The sequence below is a fragment of the Homo sapiens genome, chromosome 15 (genome assembly GCF_000001405.40).
Source record: "Homo sapiens chromosome 15, GRCh38.p14 Primary Assembly".
In the NCBI taxonomy this organism is placed as follows: Eukaryota; Metazoa; Chordata; class Mammalia; order Primates; family Hominidae; genus Homo; species Homo sapiens.
This window is the reverse complement of record NC_000015.10, coordinates 73,224,527-73,243,511: the sequence shown is the minus strand read 5'-3', so window position 1 is coordinate 73,243,511 and position 18,985 is coordinate 73,224,527. Positions and strand designations below refer to the sequence as shown.

The following is an 18,985-nucleotide window of genomic DNA, read 5'->3' as shown; positions in this document are numbered from 1 at the left end:
TTGTGAAGGAATTTGTTTTAGACAAACAGTTGGCTTTTAGGAACTGTCATTCATGTGAGGAAACAGCTATACCTGTCTTGAGAAAGTAATTAAAGAGCCTCAAACTACTCCATTGAAGAAATTATTCTAATTTATTGAATTAAAATTCTTACTTTAAAATACTGATAATTTGCCTTCAAATTGCAGATTAAAATTTGTGTAGGTCTACATGACCATATGCCAATTTGTCTGATTGTGAGCATTTGCACTGCAGAGAAGTGCTTTTTGGTAATTTTCTATAGTTCTTTTAAGTTACTTTATTTTAATTAAAAAATCCAACAATAGTACCCACACAATATTTACAGAGGATTTTTTCTCTATAATCAGCTAGGTCCCCTGGAAAAGAATACTGTAGTAACAAAAATTATTTTTCAGAGATACTTGAGATACCTAATACTATTTTCTCTTCGGCTAAATCTCTCAATCACAGGATTTATAAGGAAGGATCAACTGATTTCTTACAATTTAAGGTTTCTGACACTTGGTCTGATCATGGATGATCCCTGTCTTAAAGGGAAGTACAGCTGATGCTTGAACAAGACAGGTTTGAACTGTGTAGGTCCACGTATAAGCGGATATTTTTCAACAGAAGTTACACCGAGTGCGCCTGCCTTTCCTGCCCTGCTTCCATTTCCTCCACCTCTTCTGCCTCTGCTACTCCTGAGACAATAAGACCAACCCCTTTTCTTCTTCTTCCTCCTTTTCAGTCTACTCAACCTGAAGGTGAAGACCTTTAGGATCATCTACTTTCACTTAATGTACAATAAATAGTTTCTCTTAAGATTTTTTTGTTTGTTTGTTTTGAGACAGGGTCTCACTCTGTCACCCAGGCTGGAGTGCTCTGGTGTGATCTTGGCTCACTGAAGCCTCCACCTCCTGGGTCCAAGGGATTCTTGTGCCCTGGCCTCCAGTACGTAGCTGGGACTACAGGTGCACACCACCACGCCCGGCTAATTTTTGTATTTTTAGTAGAGACAAAGTTTTGCCATGTTGGCCAGGCTGGTCTCAAACTCCTGGCCTCAGGCGATCCACCCGCCTCAGCCTCCCAAAGTGCTGAGACTATAGGCATGAACCACCACACCTGGTCCCTTATGATTTTTTTAATAACATTTTTTCTCTAGCTTACTTTACTGCAAGAATACCGTATATAATACATATAACATAAAAATATGTACTAACAGACTGTTGATGTTATTGGCAAGGCTTCCAGTCAACAGTAGGCTACTAGTGGTTAAGTTCTGGGGAGTCAACTGTATTGTATTTTACACTAAACTAAAGGCTCTCTGAGAGAGTACAGATCAGGTCTCTTTTGTTCACCCCACACAGGAAAGTTGAAACAAGTTTTCTTCTAGAAAGACACAGGAGGGGGACTATTTTACTTCAAACTGAAGTAAAAGACTGTCTCATTCATGTTCGTGTACGACAGAAGCACGTAGCAGAATGCTCATACAGGGAAGCTGCATCCCAAACATACATTGAATGAATAAACGAAAATCTGCCTTCTGATATGTAAATCTTGTATACTAATATCATATATATATTTTTTGTTTGCTTCTATGTGAAAGGGAAAAAATGGGAGAAATAAGTGAAGGTTACTAATACCCACATCAAATTTCTATAGAAGCATTACCATTAAAAAAAATCAGTCATAGGTGATCTGACACTATTGGTCTGAGGTCCCAGAAACAAGTTACTGTGCAGAAAAACCACCCTTGGTTTTGGGATAAGATTCAAGGAGCATTTGAAACAACAATTCTCTTAAGTGTGTGGGGTTACAGTGGGACTCAGGTTAGAATGTGAAAGCTAAGAATCAAAAGGGAAAGAAAAGGGCACACTTTATAGAAAGAAAGCACTGGGCTGGAAGTTAGGAGATGCAATTCTAGTTCTGGCAATGCTACTAGCTTGTGAGGAAAAGTCACTAATGCTTTCTGGGCCTCACTTTCTTTATGTATTAAACGAAAAAATGAGACAGGGTGGGCAAACTTTTTCTTAAAGGGCCTGGTAGTAAATATTTATAGGCCAAGAGGCAAAATGGAGGATATTATATAGTTACCTATGTAACATTTCAAATGTAACTATTTAAAAATGTAAAAACTATTCTTAGCTCCGGGGCCATAAAAATAAATAATTGCTCCAATTTGGCACAGGGTCCATGGTTTGCTAACCCCTTGACTAGACTAACAGATCTCTAAGGCTTCAATCCAACTTTAAAGTGCTATGAATAGCAGAAATACCTTACTTTCCACTTCCCACTTAATGGTTAATATAGAAAAGTACTGCTTTTTTAAGAAAGATGAAATTTTCATAGCTGAAAAGGCAGAGAGGAAGGACCCTCTGAAATCTCTGGCAACTCAGGTACCCATAAGAATTACAGCTCATGACCAAGGCATATGGTGCCACCTGGTGGCTGAATTTTCAAATGCAGGAAGTGGGTGAATTTGTAAATGCAGGTAGTGGCATACATTCTCACATTGAATTCTTACCACACGTCTGTGAAGTAAATATATTACTTTTGTTTTTTAGATGAGAAAATTTAAGCCGATAAGATTAATAAGAAAGTTTTGTTTATGTAACAATTAGCCAGGATATAGTCTTACGACTTAAAAAAATTAACTTCTCCTTCATTGCCTCTATTCAGAAATCATAAAGTAATGAAGCAACAAAAAACTATTATGGTCTCCCAAAATCTTCCTTTTAAATATTTCCCAAATTTGTCCTATCCACTTCAAGTCGCTGCTTTCATCTTCATCCAAGCCGACGACTAGCACGTATCTAGGCTAACATAATTACTACCCAATTTTGTCTCCCTGACTCTATTTTTTCTCTCCTTTAATCTTGGGTAGTGTTCCCAAAGTACTGTTTAATAAAATCACAGTGTACAACTTTCTTAACAGTCAAAAATGGTCCCTTCTTATCTGATTATGTCCAAATTCTCACTGGCATTCCAGCATCTGGCTCCAAACGTCCACTTTATTCTAATCTCTTACTAATTTCTGCCAAAAGCTCTGGGCCAGTTTGGCCAGCTTTCTTGCCTTTGCATCCTTCTCACAGCATACACACAGATGGCCTTACCTTGCACTTCCTCTTCCTTTACATACACTAGTCATGCCCACCTGCCCCTGCCAACTCAACTTCTGTATCTCTTCCAACTACAAATTAATTTACTAATCATTCCTGCTTACTCCAACCCACAATCTATCATAAAATTTAAATAAGTGTGTCTCATTGAAAACATTTAAATATAAAAGTACACACAGTTAAAAAAAAATAAGTCTCAATTCTCTTTTGTCAAAACCTGTCCTGCCCTGAGAGCTGACTGTGGCACATATTGACGCATATCTCACCAGACAGTCTCCATGCCAGGGTTTCTCAACCTTGGCACTACTGAGACATTGGGCAGGATAATTCTTTGTTGTGGGACTGTCCTGTGCATGGCAGGATGTTCATCAGCATCCCTGGCCTCTATCCACTAGATGTCAGTAAGTACCTCTACTGGTACTTACTGACGCTGTACCAGGCATTGCCAAATATCCCGAGGGATGAGGGGGCAAAACTGTCCCTGGTTGAGGATCACTGCTTTAGGCATTTACATACACATCAAAATATACAGACAGGTCATTTAAAAAAAACTGCTGCCACCATACTTACGGGTATACATACAGTCATGCACTGCTTAACAACAGGGATATGTTCTGACAAATGCATCACGTGATTTCATCGTGTGAACATCACAGAATGCACTTATGCAAACCTCGATGGTATAGCTAGGTGTATATCCCACACACCTAGGCTGTATGGGATAGCCTATTGCTTCTAGGCTACGAACCTGCACAGCATGTTACTGTACTGAACGCTGTAGGCAATGCGAACACAATGGCAAGTGTCTATGTGTCTAAACACAGAAAAGGTACAGTAAAAAGACAGTGGTATAATCTTATGGGATCACCATTGTATACGCAGTCTGTCTGACTGAAGCGTTGTTATGTGATGCACGATTGTATATTAGGTGCCCATTCTTCTATCAGTGGATATTTACATAGTCTCCTTTTATAATCTTGCAAACAATGCTATAAATAAACGTGTTTGTATGAGGGCCCAATGCATACATATATCTGTATGTCTATAGGACAGTTACCTAGAAGTGTGATGGAAGGCTATGTATATTTAAAATATTTTAAAATTCTGCCAAATCACCTTCCCTAGACTATTCTAATTTATACTGCCACCAATAACCTAGAGTGGTTTTCCTCCTAGCTGTCAACTCATTGAACACTGGATATTATCAACTTAAAATTTTTGCCAGCTTTATAGATGAAAAATGATAACTTGGCCAGGCACAGTGGCTCATGCCTGTAATTCCAGCACTTTGGGAGGCTGAAGTGGATCGCCTGAGGTCAGGAGTCCGATACCAGCCTGGCTAACACGGTGAAACCCCATCTCTACTAAAAATACAAAAATTACCCAGGCATGGTGGCAGGCACCTGTAATTCCAGCTACTTGGGAGGCTGAGGCAGGAGAATCGCTGGAACCTGGGAAGCGGAGGCTGCAGTGAGCCAATATAGTGCCACTGCACTCCAGCCTGGGTGACCCAGCGAGACCTTTGTCTCCAAAACAAAACAAAACAAAACAAAATAAAAACAAACAAAAAAACCCCCATCATTTTGCTTCCAAGATCGCCTGAGATGGTGAAAACCTTTTTTTAACTCTAATGGGCTTTCCAGTACTATGAATCATCTGCTTGTATTATTTGTCTCTTGGGATATCTTTTATTTATAATTTGTAACTTTGTTACTCTTTCCTGTTATGGCTTCTGGATTTGCTATCTCCCTTTAAAAGCCCTTTCCTGTTCTCCAAATGATAAAAATCATTTCTATATTTTCTTCTAATATATTTATAGATTTTAAAAATATTTATCTCTTAATCCATCTATAATTTAAGACAGAGACATAACTTTTATTTTTCCCACCAAATGGATAATCAATCTCAACATGATTACTTGAATTATCTATTATTTCTCCACGAATTGAAATTAATGTATTAACTTAATAAATATTTACTGAGTGTTACTAAATGCCAGGCTCTGTTCCAGGTGCTGGAGAATTTTATTGAACAAGACAGACAGAATAAATAAGCTAATAAAAGAGAAAATTTCAGAGAGTAGTAAGTGCTCTCAAAAAAAAAAAAAAAAAAAAAAAAAAAAACCCAAACTAAAAGCGAAACAAACAAAAAAATACCACACACATACCAAAAAATAGGGTGATGTGACAGCAGTGGTGTTCTGGTGAATGTTTAACAATTGGCTCTGGTTTGCAGCATTTGTCACTGTAAACACTCCCACCATGCCCAATTTCAAGCTGCCAAGTCATGTCATTAGGTTTGCAAAATTTCCCGAGCATTTAACAATTAGCTTGGGAACAGGCTGGCTCTGATACCCCACTGTGTGACAGTCACCGAGGGGCTAAGTTTGGGTTGGTATTCAGGGAAGGCCTGAGGAGATGTCATCTAAAGATGATAGATAAGAAGCCAGATGTAACTCATGTGAGGAAAATGCATTTCTGGTAGAACGCACAATAAGAGCAAAAAACCTACTGCAGAAATAAAGCTTATTACGCAGAATTACTAAATGGTTTCTTCCTTCTGTGAAAGCTTATGAGATTTTCAATGAGATTTCAAAGTCTATTGAAGATATTTTAATGGTGATATTGAAACTTGCTGTTTGGTAGGAATGTCTTACCTTTTTTTATGTATAGAACTATGTTTCTCTACCCTTGTAAAACTCAAAACACACAGTATAGCATTCAGGTAACTCCCATCTGTTGGTGTTAAATTATGCCACTTAGACTTCTTGAGAGTATTAAAGAAAGGGTCCTGCACTTGCTAAACTTGCCAGTCTGGTATTAACTACAATGTACATCAACTATAAGCATGCTAATGGAAATACAAGCTTTAGCTGATGTATTAGGGCTCCTACTAAAACACGTATCTTAGCTTTCTTATTCTGGTTGGAAGAGCACAGTGAAGGAATTTACTACTCGGCAATGTGTGAACAGTCAGCATGTGGCATGGTTCCTTCCAAAGAGTTTATAATCTGGTTGGGAAAACAGCACAAATACATAGAACATAATTGAAGAATAACAGCTTAAGGTAGTAAAATATCACATATTACCATAATCAAGTGCCAATATTAGGGATACAAATACACGTACAAGGGAAATGCTCTATGTGCTGAAAAGGTGGGTAAAGATCTTTGAGAGCTTCATGGGGCTTAACCTGGGCCAAGAAGGATTAACTGAATTTACCTTCAGCTGAGAAAGGGGCAAGAAGTGACTGAAGAGGACACACTGGAAAAAAAGGCTATAGTGATTAGACTGGTTTCACTAGAAAGTCAGTTACATTGGGGAAAAAGGAAAAGCAAGTTGGACAGATAAAGTGAAGCCAGCCTGTGGCACAAAGCAGCCTGGACATTATAGATCTTCCCCTATGAGCAATGTGAGCTCCTGAGGGGGTGGAAATGAAGAGGAATGTAATGAAAATGCTATTTTAGGAAAAGTCATCACTAACTACTCTTATTCCATCAAGGAGAACCCCTGGAGCTCCGCAGCCCACACCACATAAGGGTGTGGCAAATATTCATTTAAGTTTACTTTAATAAATTAAGTCTACCTTAATCTCTAGAATTTATACTGACTGAATCTTATGAAAAAAGGGCACTCCTTCTTACATTTAAATACGTCCACCTCAATAGCTGTATCTACCCTCTCCCTAAGTCATCCCAGAAAAGGAGAGACTACCAGGACTTTAGTCTGTTTGGGAGTTTATTTAATGACCTAAAATTAGGGAAGGTGCATCTCAGTGATCTTATTTTCTGGACTAAAAATTGGTACAGATACCAAGAGCCAGGGTGAGCATGACAAGGCTGCCGTGACCAAGAGGCAGCCAACTGGCTGCAGACACACAGGCACTTACCTAGCAATCCCTTCCTTGGTGTAGAACACAGAGTAGGTAAGGTTGTCTCCGTGAGGATCTGATGCAGGTGTCCGCCACGTCAATTTGATGAAGCGGGTAGAGACCAGGGAGGCCACGACATCCCGAGGAGCTGAAGGCAGTGGTCCCGTTGTGGCTGGTGCTAGATGGTCAGTAGTGGCACTGGTCAGTGAAGTGGGAGGTAATGTTGGGATGGCAACATCTTGTCATGTGCAAACATTGGGGAATATGAAGGGCAAACCACGACGGTTTTAAAAAAGAGAACAGAAAAAACAAAAAACAAAAAAGAAATAAACAAAACCACGATGGGAAATAAAATAAAATGAATGAACATAAAAAAGGCCATTAAACTGAAGGCTAACATGCAGGCCAGGGTAACTACTGAAAACTAATGGGCACTATTCAAAACACATCACTGTAGAGCAAGCAGACTTTCTGGCCACTATAATGGTTATGGGCAAGGGACAAGGAGGGTGACAGCTGAGAATAAAACTTCTCACAGAAGGCACAGCAGTGCCCATGTAATTTTCTTAATCCTGAAAGCAGCATGCAACATCTGTCAAACTTTGCATAAAAGTCTTGCAAATGACAAGACTTCACTATTTTCTTCTACTTTAACATATGGAATAGTATGGATGACCCTAGTTACACTGAGAGGCTCATGGCTATTGTGACTTCACTGCAGAGCTCCTTTGCAGGAGAATTGAGGGCCACATCTTCAACTTTAGTCTAATATTAAACCCTGCACCTCTGTATTTGGTAATCCTGCGGGGGAAGGTTGATAAACTTCTTCATTGTAAGTTATACCTTGCTGTTTTGTCAATTCATTTAGCTAGGACAGTATAAAATCCTGAACCAAAAATTCCAAAGCCAAAAAATTGCAAGTCAGGTAGCTAATCTGTTTGTTACACTCTTCACTGCGATGTATACTGAAACAGCTTGCAGACCTCAAGGACTGGATGGGAGAAAGGAAGCAGTGGCGAGGCAAAGCTGCTAGTCAAAAGCCACTTTTGTATAGCGGTAGCCATGGGTAACTTCATAACTTCCAAGGCAGCCCATGCTACTGATGAAAAACAAAAACAACAGTCCTGATAGTAGAATTTTATTCCTAATATTGAACCTAAAATCTCTTTCACTTCGGAGTTAGAGAGTACAAGTTTAATCTCACAATTTTTAACTGAAAGACTTCATCAGAATCATGTTCGAACATTAAAAGGGAAATTAGTAGGAGAGATGTAGAGAGGAAAACATGAAAACCGTGAACCTAGTTTTGAATGAAGTGGTGGAGCAACAACCTCCTGGAAATGTCTGTGAACTGCGAGAGTGTAATGTGATGCAGTCTAAATAAATACGCCACGTGAAATAAATTATCTATCTCAGGGAAATGGCAAAGGAGGACCAACCTAAAATCTCTAGATAGGTGGAAAGGGAGAAGAGTAATCCAATAGCTACCACTTCTTGAATACCTTACATATGGCACTCTGGCTCTCTATATAGATCATTCAATCCTTACAGCAGCTCTATAAAATAGGTACAATCATTATCTCTAACTTATATGTAGAGACTGACATTGCTAAATCACTTGCCCTAGGTCACAGAGAATGAGTGGTGGAGTGGTATTAATAAAATCAACTTTGGTTTTCAGTTTAAAAGACCTCTGGATATAGCCAAGCAGAGTCTGAAAACTTGACTTCCAGTTCTTGTGCAAATCACAAAAGAGAGCCTTGTTCTCTCTCATGCTCCCTTTTTTTTTCTCCTCCCTTGGTAGTGCTTTTAAGAGTGCAGATTGTTATAAGAATGTAAGATAATGCAGTTTTAGCCCCGACGTTAAGTACATGCTTCACTAAAGCAAGTGTCAACACTACAAAACATTAACTCTGAATGGTTGCTGAGGCCTTGTAGTACTGTACACATCAACAGATGCACTGCCTTAGAGGAAATAAATACCTCTCATTCACAGCTTTCAGAGTTTGTCTTTATATATTTTGTCAGTTTACTCACACAATAACCCTATGAGGTAGGCTGGAAACGATAGGATTAGATGCTGAGATAAAGGTTAGGAAGGAGTCAAAGACTTCCAAGTTACTAGCTTAGGAGACTGTGGAGCCTGAGGTGTCATTAACAGAGAAGACAACAGATTGAGGGGGAGATTATGAATTTGGTTTTGAATATGCTGTGTTTAAAGTCACAATTCAACACCTATGGAATAAATGAGATGCAAATGAAAATATGGATCTCCGATTATTGTAAAATTAAAAGTCATTAAAAACCCTTATTGGGAAATGATTCAAAAAGTAGCCTGAACAGTCTTGCTTTGCAGCCTCATTTGCATGTCCATCTAGAAACACACTAAGCTGCCTCCAATTCTGACCCAACTCACCAAACTTAATTCTTCCCAACTATCTACTGGCTAGAGAGGAGAGAAAGTTTGCTGTGTGAGAGGCAGCAGAGCATACCGGAAAGAGCCCAGGACTTCGAGTACAAAGACTTATGTTCAAAACTTGACTCTTCTAATATGCGAGGTTGGGTAAATCACTCTGATGTCAGTTTCCTTATCTGTAAATTAGGAATAATAATGCTCCCTACCTAAACCCCAAGCTGATATGAACCAGACAAATACCAAACAAGAAAAGTGCATGTGGAAGCTCTGCGTACATGTTATTTACTATGACTAGCTTGAATGAGTAACAACATAAGGATTTCAGTAGGAAAGCAGCTGGGGAGGGAATGCAAGCAGGGAGGACGAGGTGATGGGAGTAATGAGTGATAACAGAATCACTTAGATAGGGAAAACTCAGTTACCCTACTGAACTTCCATAGCACAGATCTATAACTCTTTAACGGCATCCAGCACACCCTATTTCCATTTTTCATGTTTACATTGTATTACTTCCACGAATCTATAAGCTCCTTAAGGACAAAATATGTATCAATTTCATCTGGGAATCACTCAACATGCCTCTGTATACTTTAGATAACCAAGTGTACATTTATTGAATTAATAAATGGAAGGAAATTCAGGGAGAACATGAGTACGATGAAGACAATGTTTCTAGAATCTCATTACAAAAGGCAATATTTTAATCTCTTTGGTTGACACAAAGTGTATATAAATAACATTTATATAATGATATACCATTTGTAAAGCAAATGTTTTATTAGTTATACAGGGAATAAAAGTATAAAAAATGCCTGATCATTGTAAATCATTCCTAATTAACCATGGGAAAAATCCATGCCCACTGTGGCCCCAGTGTTCTCTATCAGCTTTCCCCAGGTTGATTCTATTGCTGCTGTTCCATATCCTAGCTGAGCAGGTAAGAGAAAGCAACTTATGTTATCACAGAGTATCAAACAGGCAGTTAAGTTACACTAGCATCAATGGCAAGATGATGTAGATTGGGACTTTAGACTCCTGGCATGATGGTTTGAGACTGACAAATCCTCTTCCCCCAAAGCAACTATAAAGCGGAAAAAAACTGTCAAAAACTGGAAACTGACCAAAGACATATAACAAGCTGAGAAGCATCTGTTCATGAAAATTACCAGACTTCACACACAAACAGTGTCTGAGGCATCCCCCTCTAGCTCTGCTAGAGTGATTGTTCAACCAGGCTAGCGCAGGCCCTACAAACCAGTGGCTTTGCTGCTGTTGCCAGAAGAGCTCATTTGATATGGAGTGTTGTCAATTAGAGGAGCAATCCTGGTGGCAAGTGAATAGGAAGGGCCAGTGCTCTGCTGGCCTGAGGTTGTATCTCATTGAGGCAAGCAATGGATGGTAGACTAGCCATGGAACAAGGTATTCCATGAGGTGAGAAAGTGGTGAGAAGGCTTGGTAACCTCTGCACATATCCTAGGTTGACTGAAGGCCATGTGTATGTACCCTAGGGACTGCAGCAGGCCCAAGCCACTCACACACCCCCGGCAGATGAAACCTGTGTGTGTGTGTTCACAAGACAACTGAGAGAGCCCGGTAGAAAGCAAAGGCTGGGCAAACTAAAAAATAATCCAGATTTTGAATGCACTCCCCAAACCACACAAAGACCCATCAGCTCAAAGTGGTAGGCTTATTGGCTTGAGGTATTTGAGCATAACTGCTGACTAATCTTTGGTTCAGCACTAATCTATACAGACACAGGGCAAAATCTAAACAGAGACTTTTAGAAAATGCAAATAAAAAGATAATCAAAACTAAATACTCAACAAAAACATCTGTGGTTGCACACCCTGGGAGAGGCAGAAATCACAGATTTAGTACAGGCAAGTTATTAAACAAACAAAACAAGAAAAACTGCTAGGGGGTGGGAGGAAGAGTCAGAATCCACAGTTGCTACAATTTATTATCCAAAATATCCAATATTCAACAAAAGTGAAGAGACATGCAAAGAAATAAAGTGTGACTCATAATCAAGGGGTAAAAAAGGCAGTCATTACAAAGGCAGTCATTACAAAATGTCTTTCTTGGAATGTCCTCAGATACTGGATTTAACAAAGACTTCAAAGTGGCTATTTAAATATATTCTAAGAACTAAAGAAACTGTCAGGAACTAAGCAGGATCTGAGAGTTTACCTTATTGATAAGCTAACAAGTTAGCTTATTACTGATTCATGGGTGCTGGCAGATGGTACAAGTGCTGCATCAGAGACAAAGAACTTTATTACTCATGGCAGTGGAGGCAGCTAGAGTTTCTCGTTTGTTTTGGTCAGTTTCCCATGCCCCCAAAGTCCCATGAAGGCAATACGGAGGGGCCAGGATGGATGCCTGCATATTCAGGGTCTTGCTCTATCACCCAGGCTGGAGTGCAGTGGCACAATCATGGCTCACTGCAGCCTCCGCCTCTCAGGCTCACCTCAGCCTCCCTGAGCAGCTAGGACCACAGGCATGCACATCCACGCCTGGCTAATTTTTTGTACTTTTAGTAGAGATGGGGTTTCACCATGTTGCCCAGGCTGGTCTTGAACTCCTGAGCTCATGCAATCCACCCACTTCGGCCTCTCAAAAGTGCTGGGATTACAGGCAGGAGCCACCACATGTGACCTGTTTACTACTTTTATAGCAAGAGGAAGCAGGCCCCAGACAAACAGCAGGCTTACTGTGGATATCTAATTTAATTCTGTTGTGGTCAGAGAACACACTATATATTATTTTGGTCTTTTAAAATGTATTGAGACTTGTTTTGTGTCCTAGCATGTGGTCTATCCTGGAGGTTGTTCCATGTGTGCCTGAAAAAAATCTGTATCTGCAGATTCTTATAAAGAAGATTATGAAGATTCATAATGTCAGTTAGGTCAAGCTGGTTGACAGCGTTATTTAACTATTTTATATCCTTCCTAACTTTGTCTAATAGTTTTAGCAGTTTTTGACAGAATATTGAAATCTGCAATTATTATTGAATTATGTTATTTCTTCTTTGAATATAATAATTATAAATGCATACATATCTAACAAAAAAGCCCCAAAATATGAAAGCAAAAAATGACAGAATTAAAAAGAAATCTGAGAAAACCCCAAATATTTGAAAATTAAACATGCTCTTAAACAATCCTAGGGTCAAAGAAGAAATCATAAGAAAAATTTAAAAAAATTTTTTTAACAGGCCAGGCATGGTGGCTTATGCCTATATAAACCCAGCACTTTGGGAGGCTGAAGTGGTGGATCACTTGAGCCCAGAAATTTAAGACCAGCCTGGGCAACATAGTGAGACCCCATCTCTACAAAAAATACAAAGAATTATCCAGGCATGCTGGTGTGCACCTGTAGTCCCAGCTACTTGAGAAGCTGAGGCAGGAGGATCACTTGAATGCAGGAGGTTGAGGCTGCAGTGGGTCATAATTGTACCACTGCAGTCCAGCCTGGGTGATTGTGAGACTCTGCCTCAAAAACACAATTTTTTAACACTATAAAAATAAAAACACAATGTATTAAAAATTACAGGATGCAGCTAGAGTGGTGCTTTAAGGGAAATGTAGTGCTTTACCTACATCAGAAAGAAGAGAGGTCTCAAATGAATTACCTAAGCTTCTATCTCAGGTAGAAGACTAGGAAACTAAGAGAAGACACAAGTTACTCAAATCAAGAATACAAGAAGGGACAATAGTACAATACTACCAACCCTACAGATAACTAAAAAAGCTTTAATGGAATATTTTGGGAAAAAAAATTGCCAACCAATCAGACATATTAGAGGAAGGGGAAAAATTCTTAGAAGAACATAAACTGCCAAATCTATCAAGAAAAAACATGAAGTCTGAACGACCTATAATAGAGAAACTGAATTAGTAAGTAAAAATCTTCCTATACAAAGAAAATTCTAAGTCCAAATGGCTTTACTGCTGGATGTTATCAAATATTTGAAAAGAGAAATAATACTAATCCTTCACAAACTTTTTCAGGAAATAGAGAAGGAGAAACATGTCCCAACTCATTCCTGTGCGTTCAGTATTACTCTGTTATCAAAGCCCGACAAAGAAAAGAAAGAAACACGACACATGAAAAGAAAGCAACAGACCAGTATCCCTTATGATCATAGTATAAAACTCCTTACCAAAATGTTAGCAAGCCACATTTGGTAACACATTAAAAAATTATATGCCATGACCAAGTAGAATTTATCATAGGAATTCAAGACAGTTTAATGTTCCAAAATCAATTAAACACATCACATTAAGAGAAAAAAGAAAAACCACTAGTTATCTCACTAGACACAGAAAAAGCATTTGACAAAATGAAACACCCATTCATGATAAAAACTCTCAACAAACTAGGAAAAGAAGTAAAATTCCTCAACCTGAAAAGCCTACAGTGAGCACTGTATGTAATGGTGAAAGATTAAATGCTTTTTCCCTAAGATTAGAAACAAGACAAGGATATTAGTTTCTCATTCCTTAGTACTAAAAGTCCTAGCAAGTGCAAAATGGCAAGAAAAAGAGAAAAAGGAAATACTGATGGGAAAGGAAGAAATAACACTATTTTCATGTGTGAATGACATAATTATCTATGCAGAAAACCCTCATGAATCTACTGAAAAAAAAAAAAACAACTAAAACTAATAAATAAGGCTAGCAAGGTCGGAGGATATGAAAACCAACTGTAGTTCTATATTTTAGGAACAATCCAAAAATGAAATTAAGAAATCAATTCCATTCACAAATTCCACTCACAATAGCATCAAAAAGAATTAAAATACTTAGAAATAAATTTAACAAAAATATCTAGGGATAAATTTTAAGATACTCAGGAATAAACCTAAAAGAAGTGTAAGACTGGTACAAAGAAAAAATTACAACACATTGCAGAGAGAAATTAAAGAAGATCTAAATAAATAGATAGTCCATGTTCATGAATTGAACAACTCAAAGTTGTTAATAAGGCAACTATTAACATGCTAGAAGAAATGCAAAATGCTAGAAGAAATGCAAAAGACCTAGAATAGCCAAATCAATTATCAAAAAGAACAAAAAAAGTTGGAGGATTTCAAAATTTACTGTACTTCAAAATTTACTAATTTCAAAATTTACTGTAAAGCTACAGTAATCAAGACATATGAATAGGCACATCGATCAATGAGATAATTCAGTGTCCAGAAATAAACCCTTATATTTGTGGTCAATTGATTTTTGGCCAAGGTGTCAAGAAATTTCAATGTGGGAAGAACAGTCTTTTCAACAACTGGTGCTGGGACAACAATATATCCACATGCAAAGTAATGAACTCACATCATATATAAAAATTAACAAAATATCTCATAGTCTTAATCTAAGAACTAAACTTCTAGAAGACTTCATGTCTTGAGTTAGCAAAGAATTTTTATACGTTACATCAAACGCACAAGACATAAAAGAAAGTATGCCCTGATAAATTGGATTCTATTAAAAACAAATACTTCTGCACTAAAAAAAACCCAGAAAAAAACAAAACAAAAACAACAACAACAACAAAAAACAACCCAAAACTAAGTAAATGAAAAGCAACAGACTGGCAGACAATATTTCCAAATCATGTATCTGATAAAAAAAAAAAAAACTTATACCCAAAATACATAATGAACTCTTACAACTCATTAAGAAAACAACCAAAGTTAAAAAAAAAAAGGCAATAGCTTTGAATAGTCATTTCATCAAAGAAAACATAGAATAAGCACATGAAAATGACATCATTAGTCATTAGGGAAATGTAAATTAAGAGCGCAATGAGATAACTACTCTGGTGGCAGAAGGGAAAGCAACCAGCCTGACTCTAAGAAACAAAGGTTTTTACTACATGTGGCCTACAGATCTGTATTTTTCATGTTTGCTTTGGGCCCTTGATGACTGGTTGGCATTTATAAAAGTCTTTGATAATTTCTGGACACTTTAATTTTATGAAGACTTCAGACAGATTTTAAGCTCAGGTGTTTTGAGCAAAAGAAATGTCCTAGGACTGTGTAACTATTGCTGTTTTACACTAGGAAAAAAAAGGATGTTTAATAGTTTCAACTATCCAGTCTTTCTTTCAACAGCTTTACTGAAGTATGATTTACATACCATAAAGTTCACCCATTGTAACTGTACCAAACAGCCTCCAGAATAAGTCTAAACATCTCAGGACAGTGTTCAAAGTCCTCCAGACTGGTCCCATCCTCGCTTTCTAGGCTTATTTCCTAAACAGGATGTGCTCTTGATTTGCTTGGTTACTTAACAAGAAGGAACTTTACAGCTTTTATACCTTTGTTCATACTGCTACTATGTTTAGAACAGTATGTAAACACCATGTAAATCTGAATCAAGCCAAAGGCCACTGGGAAATCTATTTGAGAAAAGGTATTACATTTTCAAATGTGAGCATTGCTGTCCGCTCTGACCTGCTGCTCAAATGCTTGGCAGCAGCTTCACACTGGCCCAGTCGCTGAAACCTAAGGGCCTGCACAGGGTTGTAAGTAGCAGAAATTGAATTGTTCCGTGGAAGTTCCTAAAGAATGATGACGTTTCTCCTGATCTGGCTTTTTTGTTTGTTTGTTTTTGAGATGGAGTCTGTTGCCCAGGCTGGAGTGCAGTGGTGTGATCTCGGCTCACTGCAGCCTCTGCCTCCTGGGTTCAAGCAATTCTCCTGCGTCAGCCTCCCGGGTAGCTGGGATTATAGGCATGCGCCACCATACCCGGCTAATTTTTGTATTTTTAGCAGAGACGGGGTTTCACCATGTTGGTCAGGCTGGTCTCGAACTCCTGACCTCAAGTGATGTGCCTGTCTTGGCCTCCCAAAGTGCTGGGATTACAGGTATGAGCCACTGCGCCCGGCCTGACCCGGCTTTATATTGAGTAAGTCATCAGAGCTGCTCCTAATATTTCTGAGAATTAACTTTCAAAATCTAGCTATGCTGTGGTTGACGGTTCCAGTTTCAATACATTAGATTTGTGACTGATAAAGTGTCACTTAGTAACAGTCTATAATTATTAGTTTAACCAATACATGTATTTGAAAGTTTCTGAAGGTGGAGATCATTAAATTCTGCACTAGGCATGTTGCACCCTTGGTTAAGCAGATCCCCAGTTATCCTAATTTGACGCCCACTCACACCAACTACAGCTGTGAGTAGGTACATTTACATTTTCTTTTTGGAATCCAAATTTTGTTCCTTTTTCATAACCTTTCTTTGAAAATAGTTTTGAAATTTCTTTAAAAATTTCTAAGCTCATTTGAAAGGTAGGAAAGTATCATGGGAAATATTCTTTCTCTCTGGCCCTTCATTAGGAATCTACTAAATTGTTATTTCCCAGGAATGTTCACTCTAACATTATTCAGAATTCATTATTCAGAACGGAGTCAGATTTACATGGTGCTTATTACTCCAAACATAGTAACAGTGTGAACAAAAGTATACTTCCACAGAATATTACTTTTGGGAAATGTTAACACATATACCGTAAAATAAAAAAGAGAACAACAATCAAATTTGGGAGATTGTAGAGATTTGCCATGCATATTAGTATGTTAATGACTCCTAGCACCTCTTCTGTTTGTTAACCTAGCATTTCTCATTCTTATTTGATCATGAAATCCCTATTTCCCCAAACAGTAATCCAGTCTGGGGATCCATCCCTGAATTAAATGCTTCCTGAGATACTGTCTAGCAGAGAGCCGCTTTAAAAGAGCCCATGCAGGCATTCTTTGGATCACCATGGCAGACGGGAGAGGCAGGACTAGACTGCAGCTCCGACTTGGACGGACAGAGCAGTGTGCGGAGGCTCGCACTGTGAATTTAAGCTCCAGATTGACTGCAAGAACAAACCAGAAATCCCGAGAGGACCCACAGGAAGTGGATTCTGAAGGCAGTGGATTGCTCATGCAGGACCTGGGAGACACCCCAAATACTGTGAGTGCCCCAAGTGCCCCAACTGTGGAAGTGGGAAAGGGAGATTCTCCTCTCCTGAACACACATCCCCACTGGAGAAACTGAAGGTTGTTTGAGGGAGAAGTTTCCGACCTTACCTGGAGCTGAGTCAATTTAGCGAGCCAAGCAAAATACAGGGGTAGAGGAAGCAGCGAGAAAGGCCCCGGGAGCTCACTAGGTCCCCAGGCAGGCCATTCCTAACTGGCACCACAGGGATCCTTTGGGAGGGCAACCGGAGGAGTGTGGGGAAAAACACCACAGGGAGAAGGAAATCTCCAGCTGAACTTTGTAACAATTTGAAGCTGGGGAGAACCCTCCTGGCCAGAACTCGGGAAAGGGTGCGAATCAGGTGTGCAGACTCCACAGGCTGGGGAAGAATCAAGCCCTTTTCTTTCACAGCTGGGAGGCAGGCAGCCTGGGGCAAGTTCTCAAGCCTGGCTCCCCAACTGCTGGCAGACTCGGGGCTGTTAGATGGGGCACAGTGAGAATGAGACTGGCCCTTTGGTTTGCGTGGGAGCTGGGTGAGGCCTGTGACTGCGGCTTTCCACCACTTCCCTGACAACCTGCATGACTCAGCAGAGGCAGCCATAATGCTCCTAGGTACACAACTCCATTAACTCACCCCCATCCTCCACAGCAGCCGCAGGGAGACGCGCCCAAGGAGAGTCTGAGCTCAGACACCATCTAGCCCCGCCCCCTCCTGATGGTCCTTTCCTACTCACTCTGGTAGCTGAAGACAAGGGTATATAATCTTGGAAGTTCTAGGACCCCGCGCACCTCTGGTTCCTCTCTATACTACCACAGCTGATGCTCTCTGGAAAGTACAAACTCCCGGCAGGAGGGCAACCAGCACAAAAATAGAGCATTAAACCACCAAAGCTAAGAACTCTCACAGAGTCCATTTCACCCCCCTGCCACCTCCACTGGAACAGGTGCTGGTATCCGCAGCTGAGAAACCCATAGACGGTTCACATCACAGGACTCTGTGCAGACAACCCCCAGTACCAGCCTGGAGCTGGATAGACTTGCTGGGTGGCTAGACCCAGAAAAGAGGTAACAATCACTGCAGCCTGGCTCTCAGGAAGCCACATCCATAGGAAAAGGGGGAGAGACTACATCAAGGGAACACCCCATGGGACCAAAGTACCTGAACAACAACCTTCAGCTCTAGATGTTCCCTCTGACAGAACCTACCCAAATGAGATGGAACCAGAAAACCAACTCTGGTAATACGACAAAACTAGGCTCTTTAACACCCCCCCCAAAAAATCATACTAGTTCACCAGCAGTGGATCCAAACCAAGAAGAAATCCCTATTTACCTGAAAAAGAATGCAGGAGGTTAATTAAGTTAATCAGGGAGGCACCAGAGAAAGGTGAAGCTCAATGCAAGGAAATCCAAAAAATGATACAAGAAGTGAAGAGAGAAATATTCAAGGAGATAGCATAAAGAAAAAACAAAAAATTCTGGAAACATTGGACACACTTATAGAAATGCAAAATGCTCTGGAAAGTCTCAGCAATAGAATCGAACAAGTAGAAGAAAGAAATTGAGAGCTCAAAGACAAGGTCTTCCAATTAACCCAATCCAACAAA

The 18,985-nt window shown here is 39.5% G+C and overlaps 1 protein-coding gene across 29 annotated transcripts in view, besides 1 other annotated feature; it reads right to left on the bottom strand.

Annotated features, from left to right (window-relative positions):
* The window catches only part of NEO1 (neogenin 1), a 253,515-nt gene that overhangs the window by 61,695 nt on the left and 172,835 nt on the right, over positions 1–18,985 (bottom strand). For 15 of the 29 annotated variants that reach the window (XM_047432591.1, XM_011521628.3, XM_011521633.4 and 12 more), the window contains exon 9: positions 7,006–7,225. In XM_047432591.1, the coding sequence (XP_047288547.1) occupies positions 7,006–7,225 (220 nt within the window). The remainder of the gene's footprint in view (positions 1–7,005; positions 7,226–18,985) is intronic. The other 14 variants (XM_047432586.1, XM_047432593.1, XM_047432596.1 and 11 more) reach the window with 1 other exon arrangement.
* Positions 17,094–18,293: an enhancer, noted in NCBI's record as "MED14-independent group 3 enhancer chr15:73517560-73518759 (GRCh37/hg19 assembly coordinates)". NCBI's record gives its function as "activates an origin of replication core promoter dependent on BRD2, BRD4, P300/CBP and CDK7 cofactors, and independent of MED14, by STARR-seq in HCT116 cells {active_cell/tissue: HCT116}" and the evidence as "EXISTENCE:reporter gene assay evidence [ECO:0000049][PMID:35650434]".